At 41.0% G+C, this 14,002-nt stretch overlaps 1 protein-coding gene across 5 annotated transcripts in view, besides 3 other annotated features; it reads left to right on the top strand.

Moving 5' to 3' along the window:
* STAT4 (signal transducer and activator of transcription 4) overlaps nt 12,326-14,002 on the top strand; it is a 122,021-nt gene continuing 120,344 nt past the window's right edge. Inside the window, exons 1-2 of one of the 5 annotated variants that reach the window (XM_047445604.1) lie at nt 12,326-12,588; nt 12,908-12,975. The gene's annotated coding sequence lies outside the window, so the exon portion shown is untranslated. Of the gene's footprint in view, nt 12,589-12,893; nt 13,272-14,002 lie in introns of those variants that run through there. The other 4 variants (XM_047445603.1, NM_001243835.2, NM_003151.4 and 1 more) reach the window with 4 other exon arrangements.
* Nucleotides 12,509-12,588: an enhancer, noted in NCBI's record as "active region_16879". NCBI's record gives its function as "activates an Ori minimal core promoter by ATAC-STARR-seq in GM12878 lymphoblastoid cells {active_cell/tissue: GM12878}" and the evidence as "EXISTENCE:reporter gene assay evidence [ECO:0000049][PMID:35858748]".
* Nucleotides 12,719-12,768: an enhancer, noted in NCBI's record as "active region_16878". NCBI's record gives its function as "activates an Ori minimal core promoter by ATAC-STARR-seq in GM12878 lymphoblastoid cells {active_cell/tissue: GM12878}" and the evidence as "EXISTENCE:reporter gene assay evidence [ECO:0000049][PMID:35858748]".
* Nucleotides 13,239-13,288: a silencer, noted in NCBI's record as "silent region_12194". NCBI's record gives its function as "represses an Ori minimal core promoter by ATAC-STARR-seq in GM12878 lymphoblastoid cells {active_cell/tissue: GM12878}" and the evidence as "EXISTENCE:reporter gene assay evidence [ECO:0000049][PMID:35858748]".

Raw genomic sequence — 14,002 nt, 5'->3', positions numbered from 1 at the left:
ATGGTAGTTCACATTTCTGTGGGATCGGTGGTGATATCCCCTTTATCGTTTTTTATTGCATCTGCTTGATTCTTCTCTCTTTTCTTCTATGTTAGTCTTGCTAGCAGTCTATCAATTTTGTTGATCTTTTCAAAAAACCAGCTCCTGGATTCATTGATTTTTTGAAGGGTTTTTTGTGTCTCTATCTCCTTCAGTTCTTCTCTGATCTTAGTTATTTCTTGCCTTCTGCTAGCTTTTGAATTTGTTTGCTCTTGCTTCTCCAGTTCTTTTAATTGTGATGTTAGGGTGTCAATTTTAGATCTTTCCTGCTTTCTCTTGTGGGCATTTAGTGCTATAGATTTCCCTCTACACACTGCTTTAAATGTGTCCCAGAGATTCTGGTATGTTGTGTCTTTTTTCTCATTGGTTTCAAAGAACATCTTTATTTCTGCCTTCATTTCGTTATTCACCCAGTAGTCATTCAGAAGCAGGTTGTTCAGTTTCCATGTAGTTGTGCAGTTTTGAGTGAGTTTCTTAATTTGAGTTCTAATCTGATTGCACTGTGGCCTGAGAGAGTTTGTTGTGATTTCTGTTCTTTTACATTTGCTGAGGAGTGCTTTACTTCCAACTATGTGGTCAATTTTAGAATAAGTGTGATGCGGTGCTGAGAAGAATGTATATTCTGTTGATTTGGGGTGGAGAGTTCTGTAGATGCCTGTTAGGTCCACTTGGTGAAGAGCTGAGTTCAAGTCCTGGATATCCTTGTTAACCTCTGTCTCATTGATCTGTCTAATATTGACAGTGGGGTATTAAAGTCTCCCATTATTATTGTGTGGGAGTCTAAGTCTCCTTGTAGGTCTCTAAGGACTTGCTTTATGAATCTGGGTGCTCCTGTATTGGGTGCATATATATTTAGGATAGTTAGCTCTTCTTGTTGAATTGATCCCTTTACGATTGTGTAATGGCCTTCTTTGTCTCTTTTGATCTTTGTTGGTTTAAAGTCTGTTTTAGCAGAGACTAGGATTGCAAACCCTGCTTTTTTTTTGCTTTCCATTTGCTTGGTAGATCTTCCTCCATCCCTTTATTTTGAGCCTATGTGTGTCTCTGCACGTGAGATGGGTCTCCTGAATACAGTGCACTGATGGGTCTTGACTCTTTATCCGATTTGCCAGTCTGTGTCTTTTAATTGTGGCATTTAGCCCATTTACATTTAAGGTTAATATTGTTATGTGTTAATTTGATCCTGTCATTATGATGTTAGCTGGTTATTTTGCCCGTTAATTGATGCAGTTTCTTCCTAGCATCGATGGTCTTTACAATTTAGCATGTTTTTGCAGTGGTTGGTACCAGTTGTTCCTTTCCATGTTTAGTGCTTCCTTCAGGAGCTCTTGTAAGGCAGGCCTGGTGGTGACAAAATCTCTCAGGATTTGCTTGTCTGTAAAGGATTTTATTTCTCCTTCACTTATGAAGCTTAGTTTGGCTGGATATGAAATTCTGGGTTGAAAATTTTTTCTTTAAGAATGTTGAATATTGGCCCCCATTCTCTTCTGGCTTGTAGGGTTTCTGCCGAGAGATCCACTGTTAGTCTGATGGGCTTCCCTTTGTGGGTAACCCGACCTTTCTCTCTGGCTGCCCTTAATATTTTTTCCTTCATTTCTACCTTGCTGAATCTGAAAATTATGTGTCTTGGGGTTGCTCTTGTCAAGGAGTATCTTTGTGGTGTTCTCTGTATTTCCTAAATTTGAATGTTGGCCTTCCTTGCTAGATTGCGGAAGTTCTCCTGGATAATATCCTGAAGAGTATTTTCAAACTTGGTTCCATTCTCCCCGTCACTTTCAGGTACACCAATCAAACATAGATTTGGTCTTTCCACATAGTCCCATATTTCTTGGAGGCTTTGTTCGTTTCTTTTTACTCTTTTTTCTCTAACCTTGTCTTCTCGCTTTATTTCATTAATACGATCTTCAATTACTGATATCCTTTCTTCCACTTTATCGAATGGGCTATTGAAGCTTGTGCATGCATCATGAAGTTCTCCTGCCATGGTTTTCAGCTCCTTCAGGTTATTTAAGGTCTTCTCCACACTGTTTATTCTAGTTAGCCTTTTGCCTAACCTTTTTGCAAGGTTTTTAGCTTCTTTGCAATGGGTTCAAATATCCTCCTTTAGCTCAGAGAACTTTCTTATTACTGACCTTCTGAAGCCTACTTCTGTCAACTCATCAAAGTCATTCTCCATCCAGCTTTGTTCCCTTGCTGGAGAGGAGCTGCGATCCTTTGTAGGAGAAGAGGCACTCAGGTTTTTAGAATTCTCAGCTTTTCTGCTCTGGTTTCTCCCCATCTTTGTGGTTTTATCTACCTTTGGTCTTTGATGTTGGTGACCTACAGATGGGGTTTTGGTGTGGATGTCCTTTTTGTTGATGTTGATGCTATTCCTTTCTCTTCGTTAGTTTTCCTTCTCACAGTCAGGTCCCTCAGGTGCAGGTCTGTTGGAGTTTGCTGCAGGTCCACTCCAGACCCTGTTTGCCTGGGTATCACCAGCGGAGGCTGAAGAACAGCAAATATTGCAGAACAGACACTTTTGCTGCCTGATCCTTCCTCTGGAAGCTTCATCCCAGAGGGGCACCCATCTGTATGAGGTGTCTATCAGCCCCTACTGGGAGGTGTCTCCCAGTTAGGCTACACAGGGTTCAGGGACCCACTTGAGGAGGCAGTCTGTCCGTTCTCAGAGCTCAAACGCCATGCTGGGAGAACCACTGCTCTCTTCAGAGCTGTCAGACAGGGATGTTTAAGTCTGCAGAAGTTTCTGCTGCCTTTTGTTCAGCTATGCCCTGCCCATAGTGGTGGAGTCTATAGAGGCAGAGGCCTTGCTGAGCTGTGGTGGGCTTTGCTCAGTTTGAGCTTCCCAGCCGCTTTGTTTACCTACTCAAGCCTCAGCAATGGTGGGCGCCCCTCCCCTTGCCAGGCTGTTGCCTTGCAGGTCGATCTCAGACTGCTGTGCTAGCAATGAGCAAGGCTCTGTGGGTGTGGGACCTGCTGAGCCAGGCATGGGAGAGAATCTCCTGGTCTGCCAGTTGCTAAGACCATGGGCAAAGCGCAGTATTTGAGCTAGAGTGTCCCATTTTTCCAAGTACAGTTTGTTACAGCTTCCCTTGGCTAGGAAAAGGAAATCCCCTGACCCCTTGCACTTCCTGGGTGAGGCAACGCCCCACCCTGCTTCGGCTTGTCCTCTGTGGGCTGCACCCACTGTCCAACCAGTCCCAATGAGATGAACCTGTACCTCAGTTGGAAATGCAGAAATCACCCGTCTTCTGCATCCATCACGCTGGGAGCTATAGACCGGAGCTGTTCCTATGCTGCCTCATCCTTTTAAAAAGATCAAACTGCTGAATGATAAGAGGGGTGAAAGTAACTGTTCGGATTCACATCCTCCAAAGTACTTACATTCACCCACCTGGCTCTAAAGAGTAATATTTGGTTTAGTTCTCCTCTTCCTCCCTCTTCCCTTTCTTTCCAATTTTTGGGAGACTCCCAGTAGATAACAGTGACAGTGCACAGGATGATTAGGGCTGGGAAATATTGCTTTCAAACAGAGAAGGAAATTTAGCAGCATTCACACCTATAGATGTGTATTATTTAGTTAGAACAGTGTGGTGGGTCTATACTGTGTTTTGGTGCATGTGTGTATGTGCATGTGGTTAAGTTCTTTGAATTATACTAACAATTGAAATTCAGGTGATTTTTTTCTTAAACATCCAGATTTCCAGTTTCCTGTTAGAGAGATTCTCTGGCTGGACACAGTGGCTCAAGCCTGTAATCCCAGCACTTTGGGAGGCTGAGGCAGGTGGATCACTTGAGGTCAGGAGTTTGAGACCAGCCTGGCCAACATGGTGAAACCCCATCTTTACTAAAAATATTTAAACATTTAGCCAGGCATGGTGATGCAGGCCTGTAATCCCAGCTGCTGGGGAGGCTGAGGCAGGAGAATCGTTTTAATCTGGGAGGCGGAGGTTGCAGTGAGCCAAGATTGTGCCATTGCACTCCAACCTGGGTGACAGAGTGAGACTCTGTCAAAAAAAGAAAAAAAAAGAAAGAAAGAAAGAAAGATTGATTCTCTACAGACCCATCATCTGGCTGTCCCAGGAGGGCTTTGAGTTCACAGTGTTTGATTTAGGGGCCACTCTTTATTGGATGGCACCAATATTTCAGACTATTGATATTCAGACCTCTGGGTGCTGGTGCCGAACTTCGGAGGTGTTCTATCACATATTCATCTAAAGCCCTATCAGCTCCATCTCCCTTCACCTACTTTGTTCCCCCCAACTATAAAACCAATTTCATCCTGTCCCTTCTCACCCTCTTCTGCACAATAGCCCAGTACAGAATGCTCACAGTTCAGAGATGATGTATCTTCTAACTTCTCCACCCATCTCTCCCCGTAGTGACTCTAGCACTAAAAAGTCTGGGTCAAGTTACAGAAGTCATCATATCACAGCTACTCAGAAGGAAGACACTGAAGTTCCCACCAAGACCTCAGATGCCCCACAAGGTACATTCAAGTTAGAAAAATCATTTCTTCCTCCAATTGGCTGCAGCCCTGCACCAATGCTTATGTCTTGGGAATTGAAGTTCAGTTTAGATTTCAGTCCTCACTCATCCCCCTCAACCAGTCACTCTTGCATAATGAGCAAACTAAACAGCTATTCTTAGAGACACTGATACCAACTAATCTTGTTTATAATGACCCTCTATAAATCTTTGGTTTAGGTTATTCTTCTCCCTGTCTAGAAGGGTGCCGATCTTAGTCCTGGATCAGGATCGGCCTTTTTTTAAGCAGGCTGAGCATCACTGTTCTTCTCCATACCTGAATACAGTTCTTTCATCCTTCACTTTTTTTATTAATCTCATCTTCTGGCTTTTTCTGACCACTTCAGTTCATTGTGGTCATTCTTCTGAATTCCTGTGGCATTTACATTTGGCATTGCCATTCAACTGAGCATTATTAATTTCATATGCTTATTTTGTCTTCTCTGCCAATTCAACCCTAAATTATTCTCATTGTGATGTATGAGCTCAGTAAATATTTCACACTGAATTGAATAGATTTCCAACAACTACAAGCTCTAGCACCTAAAAGAGTCTCAGGGGACTTCTGCTTTTGGACATAATAGATTAACAGGGATTAGGGTTTCCAGATAAAAATCCTGGAAGCCCACTGAAATTTGAATTTCAAACATACTTATACTATAAATGCAGGTCATATATAGACTGAAAAAATTATTCGTTATTGGTCTGACATTCAAATTTAACTGGCAGTCTTATTTTGTTTTGCTAAATCTGGCAACCCTTCCCTAGTGGATTACCTGCTCATGTTAAACACACAGCTAAGCAAACAAACAAAAACCGTGAAACAATGATTTTTCAGAAATTGACAAATAGGCAGTGCAAGAGAAGTGAACAAATGAGGCAATCTTTATGATTCTCATAGCTTACTTTCTGGAGAAAGTTTCCAAGCTCCAGCACAGAAAGAGGAAGCTCAAATAGAGCCTGGCATTCTCTCAGAGTTGAAGAGGCAGAGTTGAGAGTTTGGTCAGAATTTACGGGGCAGAGTACCAGGAAGAAGACTGCAAAGGGCTCCCCTTGATTCTTCAGCTGAGTACTGAATAGTCCATGTTTGCAAAGGAACTACTCAAAGATGTGGGGAGGACTCACTAAAGAGGAGCAGGTGGAAAAATTTCTGGAGCTCACACAAGGCTAGGCATAATTTATATTCTCAACAGCCAGAGTGGAAAAAGCTCTTTATACTTGATGAAAGCAGAAATTAGAAATTGTTAAATTGGATAAAAAAGCAAGACCCAATTATATACTACAGACAAGAAACACATTTCAAATATAAATAAATAAGTAAAAAGTAAAATATTGGGAAAATGATATATCATGCTCACACTAATCATAGACACCTGCAGTGGCTATATAAATATAAAACAAAGTAGACTTCAGAGCCAAAAATATTAACAGAGATAACAAGGGTCATTTCATAAAAATAAAAGGAAAATCATCAAAAGGACAAAACAATTATAAATGTTTATGCATCTAATAACAGAGCTTCAAAATACATGCAATGAAATGTGAAAGAACTGAAAGAAGACAGACAAATCCAGGATTATAGCTGAAGATTTAAATATTCCTCTGATAATAGATTGAATAAATGGGAAGAAAATCAGGAATGATATAGAAGACTTGGATAATACTATCAACCAACTTGACCTCACTGAGATTGCAAAAACTCTTCACCCAACAGGAGCAGAGAAGACATTCTTTTAAGTGTCTTAAACATCGACCAAAACATTCTCAGCCATAGATCAAGACTCAATAAATTTTAAATAATTCAAATAACAAAAAAGTATGTTATCTAACCACAATGGAATTAAATTAAAAATGGATATGAGGAAAATATTGGAAAATGATCCAAATGTTTGGAAAACAAAAGTCACAATTCTAATTAATTAATTAATTAATTAAAACCCAAACATAAATCAAAGAAGAAATCACAAGGGAAATTTTAAGTAGAATAAATGAAAATTAAAATACAGCATATCAAAATTTGTTTGATGTAGTTTAAGCAATGGAAAGGAAGAAATATGCAGATGCTTATATCAGGAAAGAAGAAAGATCCAATCAATGACCTAAGTTTCTGCCTTAAAATATATAAGACCTGTAATCTCAGCACTTTGGGAGGCCGAGGCAGGCAGATCACGAAGTCAGGCATTCCAGACCAGCCTGGCCAACATGGTGAAACCCTGTCTCTACTAAAAATACAAAAATTAACTGGGCGTGGTGGTGCGTGCCTGTAATCCCAGCTACTCAGAGGCTGAGGCAGGAGAATCACTTGAAACCGGGAGGCAGAGGTTGCAGTGAGCCGAGATTGTGCCACTGCACTCCAGCCTGGGTGACAAAGCGAGACTCTGTCTCAAAAAAAAATATATATATATATGAGAAAGAAAGCAAACTGAAACAGAAGTAAATAAAAGGAAACGAAGAGTAGAAGTCAATGAAACAGAAGGCAGAAACACAATAGAAAAAAATCCATGAAACCAAAAGTTTGTTCTTTGAGAATATAAATAAAATTGATAAACTTTTAGTAAAACTGTCCTGGGGGGGGAAAAAGAAGACACAAACTACCAATATCAGAGTGGAGAGAGGTAAGATTATTACAGATTTTCCAGCTATTAAAAGAATAACTGGGATAAAAGGGAATTAAAAGAATAACTTGCTAAAAGGGAATATTATAAACAACTTTATGTATATAATAACAGCTTAGATGAAATATATAAATTCTTTGAAAGACAGAAACTGGCAAAGCTCACTCAAGAGAAAATAGGTAACCTAAGTAGTCCTAGATCTAATAAATTGAATTTGTAGTTTAAAAATTTCCCACCAGAAAAAAACTCCAGTCAGAGATTACTTCACTGGTGATTTTTTTTTCAAACATTTAAGGAAGAAATAATACCAATTCTACCCAAGCTTCCAGAAGACATTACAAGAAAAGAAAACTGTAGACAAAGTGTGTCCAGCCCATGGGCTGCATATGGCCCAGGACAGCTTTGAGTGCGGCCCAACACAAACTCTTAAACTTCTTAAAACGTTATGAGATTGTTTTAAAGCTCATCAGCTATTGTTAGCGTTAGTGTGTTTTATGTGTGGCCCAAGACAATTCTTTCAATGTGGCCCAGGGAAGCCAAAAGATTGGACTATGCAATGATCCTCTCTTTTTTGGAATTCATGTTTAAGTCATCAAACTTATTTCCTCTATAGCTCTCTGAGCAAGTTATTGCTTTTCTCATAAGAGCAGATAAGATTTTTAGTAAAGCAGAATGGTTATGGGCTTTGTTTCTGGAGCTCAGACAGTCCTTAGTTTGAATCCCAAATCTGTCCTTACCTCTGATAAGCCTCACTAAAGCTCACTAAACCTCTGTCCCCTTATCTGCCAATTGGAGATAATCATGATATTTAATCCTATGGAGTGCTGTGAGGATTAACTAAAACAATGCATTTGAAGTTCTTGGCACTATGTCTGGCATGGAGGTATATGACTATGATTTGTAAATTGCAATGCTTCTGAGATGGCAGTAGAGGGAGCAGAGTCAATGGGAACTGGACTTCAGAAAATTAGCAAGATTGATATTAAACCCTTTTACAAGACAATGTTCCTGTTCTGATGGAGCTAGAGCAACCTGCACACAGATGAGTCGATGAGATTCACACCAGGCCATCTTATCCCAATAATCCTTGCTGTCCCACTCATGTGGTACTAGCATATGCAACCAGGGAACTCAACGCATCTTTCTGCGTGTACATATTGTCTGTCCAACCTCCAACTCCAGCTCACCCCAGTTTCCTCAGAACACTTAAGAGGGGAGAGGAGAAGTATGGTGATATCACAAAACTGAAACTAGCAAATGTTTATATTCTTTGTACAAAAATTGGGAGAAGGTGGAGCTGGTTTACCTCCCTTACAGCGGCAAGAGTGATATCCTCTCTCTTCCTCTCTCTGTTTCCCACAAAAGCAGCTCCACTGGGCAGAGTGGGAAAAGCACAATCAGAACCGATTTTGAATCCACCCTATCTTCTATTTACAACTGTGAACCTGCCTATCCCACCCAGACTCTCTTCATCTCCATTTCCGCTCTGTACAGCAAGGTGGCAGGGAAGCTGGAGGGTTAACCTGGTGAGTGCCAAAGTTACCCATAACTTGTTTATTATTCTATTATTAACAGCTATTGATTCAGCATTTAACCTGATCCCATTTCTTACATTATATCTTTGACTTTTCCCAGCAATTTCAGGTGGGACATAATATCCCCACTTTTATAGACAGGGAGTTTTGGGGTTAGAGAAGTTAGGTAACTTATATAACTTTGTGCCACTAGAAATTGACACACCAGAACTAGAAGCTACTTTTCTGAAAGTCTTTAATCTGGGATTTTCTTCTTAGCATGATGCAGCAAAAAATTAGATATAGGGCTTATCACCAGGGCAACTGGGTGGCTGTTTGAGAAAGGAGACAGGAATCTGTGGGGGCCTTTGAATTTGGAAAACCTTCCAGGGGTTTCATTTTAGCATTTGGTTTGTTCTTCATTTTACTTCGAATTTTTTTATGTCTTTGTCTCTGAGGGACTGACAAGGCCAGGGCCAGTGTAGGGTCAAGAAACTGCAGACCTGCTTATTTAGTTTTGATTCTAAAAAAGAGAAACAAATTGGACATAGAAGCGCCCTTTCTTAGATGTCTTCCTCCACTCATGAAATACAGAAGGAAGACAGAGGTTCAAGGCAGAAGATTTAACCAAGAAAAAAGTGCGTATTTGGGCAGAGAGTCCCTCATGATAGACATCTCTGGATAAACGAGTTACAGTTGGCAGCATATGGCAAATAGAGCAGAGGTTCTCTAAGTGTTACCTGCAGATCCCTGGGAGTGGTCCCCGAGATCTTTTTAGAGCATCTGCAAGGTTAAACTATTTTTATAATAATACTAATACAGTTTTGTCTTTTCACCCTGCTGACATTTGCACCAATGGTACCAAAGCAAAGGTGGGTGAAACTGTTGGGGCCTTAGCACAAAGCAAGGAAGTGGTGCCAAATTATACTAGCAGTTGTATATTTCACCACCATGCACTTACAATAAAATGCCAGTTTGACTTAAGAATGTTTTTGATGAAGCAGTAAAAATTATTAATTTTATTAAATCTCAGACCTTAAGTACACGTCTTTTTAATATTCTTTGTGATGAAATGGAAAAGGCACATATTAAAGGATGATGGTCATCTCGAGGAAAAGCACTTGCGTGATTGTTTGAGTTGCCAAGACGAGCCTGTCACTTTAAGGAAAACAACTGGTAGTATCTGCTGCCAATAATAAAACTGAGCTTTCAAGCAAAAATTAGAATTTGAGCTTGACTGCTTCCCAGTATTTAAAATACTTACATGATGAGATCAACATTGATATTACCTGACATGAATTTCTGAACACTGTATGATGAAATGTTGTATTCATTGTATGATGAAGTAGGCAGCATTTAGAAAATCTGCATACTTCAGTGGACCAATGTTTTTTAAATGACCAGTGTCTGACATTGCAAAATAATTTGTGGGTAATAGTTTCATTCAAAATATATACAACAAAAGATTTGAATGTAACAGTATACATAAAGTATATGTTTACATAAAGTATACATAAAGTATATGTTGATAAGGTTTCAGATTTCACAATGCAACTAGCCCTTCAGAAACTACCACTCATTGAGTTTTGATGTGGTATCAAAGAAGAATAATTATTTGAAAAGGTCATTATAATACTCCCCTTTTCCAACTACATAAATGTGTGAGTCCATACTTTCTTCAAATATGTCAACCAAAATAATACTTTGCAGCAGATTAAATGCAGAAACAGATATGAGAATCCAGCTGTCTTCTCTCAAACCAGACATTAAAGAGATTTTTAAAATGCCACTCTTCTCATTACGTTTTTCATGTTGGAAGATATATTTGTTTTTCTTAAAACATGTTTAACATGGAGTGGGTTTATTATTGTCATTTTGAAGGAATAAATACATATTTTAATTTTTTCTCAGATTTAAGTTTTAACACAGTAAATAAAAATTTCATCCAGAACAGTAATACACAAACATTCCTTGGGTTTGTCAACAATTTTTAAGGGAATAATGGTATCTTGAGAACAAAAGGTTTAAAAACTGCTGTGGAAGCCGCAAGGTAAGGCCCTGAAAAGGAGGAGGAGAACAAACTCTGTTTTGTACAGCAGGCACTCAACAATTGAATATGATAATGATAAGGACATGTAAAACCAGTGTGACTAACACTATGAGGCAGGAAGTGAAAAGTGCTAAATAAGTGGTCTAGATGTGCACTGTCCAACACGGCAGCCACTAGCCATATGTGGCTTGGAATGTGGCTAGTCCTAACTGACATGCCCTGTAAGTGCTAAATATACACCAGACTTCAGAGATTGAGTATGAAATAAGGAATGCAAAGTATCTTATTGATAATTTTTTATATTGATTATATGCCAAAATGTTAAGATTCTTGTATATATTGGGTTATTTACAATATTAAAATTAATTTCACCTGTGCTTTTTTCCTTTTTAATATGGCTATGAGAAAATTTACAATTACATATGTGGCTTACATTTTATTTCTCTTGGAGAGCGCTGGTTTGGACAGGAAGTATGAAGAATTTGGAGCAGGGAAACATTGCTGTGGGTTCAGGTCATCGGGAAGTCTTCACTGAGAACTATAGGATTTCACTAAGTAGGTAGGCTCAGGGAGGAATATCCAGTTGAAGAAAGCCTCGGTAGTGAAATATGAGGTTAATCTGGGCAGCTGAGGTGACTGCTTGGGTCACATCATGGGCTCTTATAGGGGAGAAAAGTTTCCTGGATAGGTTGGGACCAAACTGTACAGAACTTAAACTGCCAAGAATTTGGATTTTTTTCCTATAGGCAGTGACAGCTTCTCCAGAAGAAAATCAGACTTTGCTTAGTAGCTTATGGAATAGCCTGAAATTGGCACTTTCTTATGTAGGGTCAGAGCAGCATAAGCTCCTGGAAACTGCCTGCTCAACAAGCAGTGGGGACCAGGCCTACCTAACCAGGAAATTTACAGTGATATGGAAAGTGTGACTTTGGATTGATTGACCTATTTGGGGGTGGGTGGTAAGTTTAAGCACATGATAATGTCACCTGGGAGAGAAGAATCCAGAGGGTGTACCTGTGTGAAACCCGTCAGGGAAGAGGGAGGCAGGCCTTTCACCTTGGTATATTGCTCTAAGCATGTGTATAACCAAATTGAGTGACACTTTCTACCTTTCTTTCAGTCTGTCTGTCTGTCTTTATTTTTGTCTTTGTTTTACTATTTTTACTTTCTTAAACATTTTTATTGATTTTTTAATATACGGTGGGATTTTACTGTGTTGCCTGGGCTGGTCTCAAACTCCTGGGCTCAAGGAGTCCTTCCACTTCAGCCTCCCAAAGTGCTAGGATTACAGGTGTGAGCCACACGCCTGGACTTCTCTTTATTTTATTGAACCCCTACTGTGAATCAAGGGGTTAAGAGCTAACTACAAGGAGATGAAATGAAAAGACCACTGAAGTGGGAAGGGAAACACCTGGGCTATTATCGGGCTCCGTGGCTAACTTATTGAGTCCTCTTGGTCACCTCACTGGGTCTCTTCAGATATGAAAGAGGATTTAGCATTAGATGGGACCAAGACTTCCTCCAACTCTGTGATTCTAGAACAGGCTGATGTCACAAAGGGAGAAGAACGCACCGTAGCAACCAGGGGCAAGGCTACTCAAGGAGAGTAGGAGGAGGCTAGGTCAGGAAGGGCAAGCACTGGTGGCCTACCCAGGACTTGGCCCAACCCTCTGGGTCAGGTCACCCTCGTCGGAGTGAGCGGACCCCGCTGGAATTGGAGCCCAGTAAGGTCTATGAGTTTGGTGTTTTGATCCTGGCTACCCATCCCTTCCATCCCAGGGGTGGTTCACCAGGCTGAGTGGAGCCTTATACTAGGGAGAGAGGAAGCTGAAGAACTGGGCTCCAGGTAAGTAACTCTGCAGAGGATCTCAGATTGTCTAAGGAAACCACTGAAGAAAATGTATGCCCCGCCCCTCCCCTTTTTCCTGGCACTGCTGAGCCACCTGCAGTTGCGAGAGCCGCTGGGAGGGATAAGAGGGAAGAGGACGCCCGGTGAAGGGGCTCCAGCCTGGCAGTTTCTGCGTGTTAGCATTTCTAGAATAGAGTGGGTGGGAACTGACCCAAGTAAAGTCCCAGAGACTCGAACACTGACGCACAGGAAAGCCTCAAGTGGGAGGAGAAATGCAAATCCCCTACTGATGATGGCGTCAGCGGCTTTCTCCTAGGGACTGTGAGGGGCGCTTCTGACTTTGGACTTGAGCACTGCCTGGGACCTGTGCTGAGAGAGCGCTAGGTAAGTGGCCAGACCACACCTTCTGGCTGCCTCTTGTAAGGAGGACATGCTTATTATGCAGGATACTCTGAAGCTTTGCTTTCCCTTGGCGTTTTGACAATTGCTTCATTTTAACCTTCCTGAGGAGGCTTATTATAGAAGGAAGCGCCCGACTCCACGACCCACAGATGCGCCCTGGCACGGGTTCTCCGCGGAAACCGCTCCGCAGGCCCGCGCCACGGTGCCCGGGCGAATCTCCCTGCGGGGGCCAGGGGAGCTGCGGCGGCTGCGGAGGTGTGTCCTCGCGGAGGCTGAAAGTGAGCCCCTCTTCACTTTCTTAGCCAGCTTCTCTAGAGCTGTGATGTCTGACTTTAGATTAGCGTACCTGGATTTCAGAAAAAAGCTTGCAGCTACGGCAGCCGGTGACTGTGGCTTTGATGGGCGCGAGTGACATTTTAGGGCAGGTCATCTCCTTTTGCAAGCTACAGGCCACAGAGCCAAAGCGGCACCACCAGCTCACAGACGGTGGGACAAAATGCCCCTTTAGTGGGATCTTCTAGGAAATGCACGCAAAAAGGACAGACAGGCACTGAGTTTTCAGAAGCAACGTCACAGTTTTCATGAGAAAGAAGTAGCCCCTAGAGAGTGAAAGCAAAGAAACCTGCTGAAGGATGTCTAAAGGCGTTCCCAGAGGCTGCAATAGAAAATGTCCTAGGACTATGTATTCCTTCTTCTTCCTTTTTTCAGCTTTGAATTCAGCTCTCCGAAAGACTCAGATCTTAGTAGTGATTTTTTTCGGTGTTTATTTTTATTTTTTTTAATTTTCCTTTTATTTTCATTTGACACACAATTGTAAATATTTATGGAATATACAGTGATATTTCAATAAATATGAACAATGTGTTATGATCAAAGGATATTCAGCATATCCATCACCTCAAACATTTATCATTACTTTGTGTTGTGAACATTCAAAATCCTCTTAGCTTTTTGAAAATATACACTAAGTTATTGTTAACCATATTCATCCTAGTGTTACAGCACTAGA

Source organism: Homo sapiens, chromosome 2 (assembly GCF_000001405.40).
Source record: "Homo sapiens chromosome 2, GRCh38.p14 Primary Assembly".
NCBI classification, from domain to species: Eukaryota; Metazoa; Chordata; class Mammalia; order Primates; family Hominidae; genus Homo; species Homo sapiens.
The sequence above is the reverse complement of the archived record's forward strand: the minus strand, read 5'-3'. Positions and strand labels throughout refer to the sequence as shown.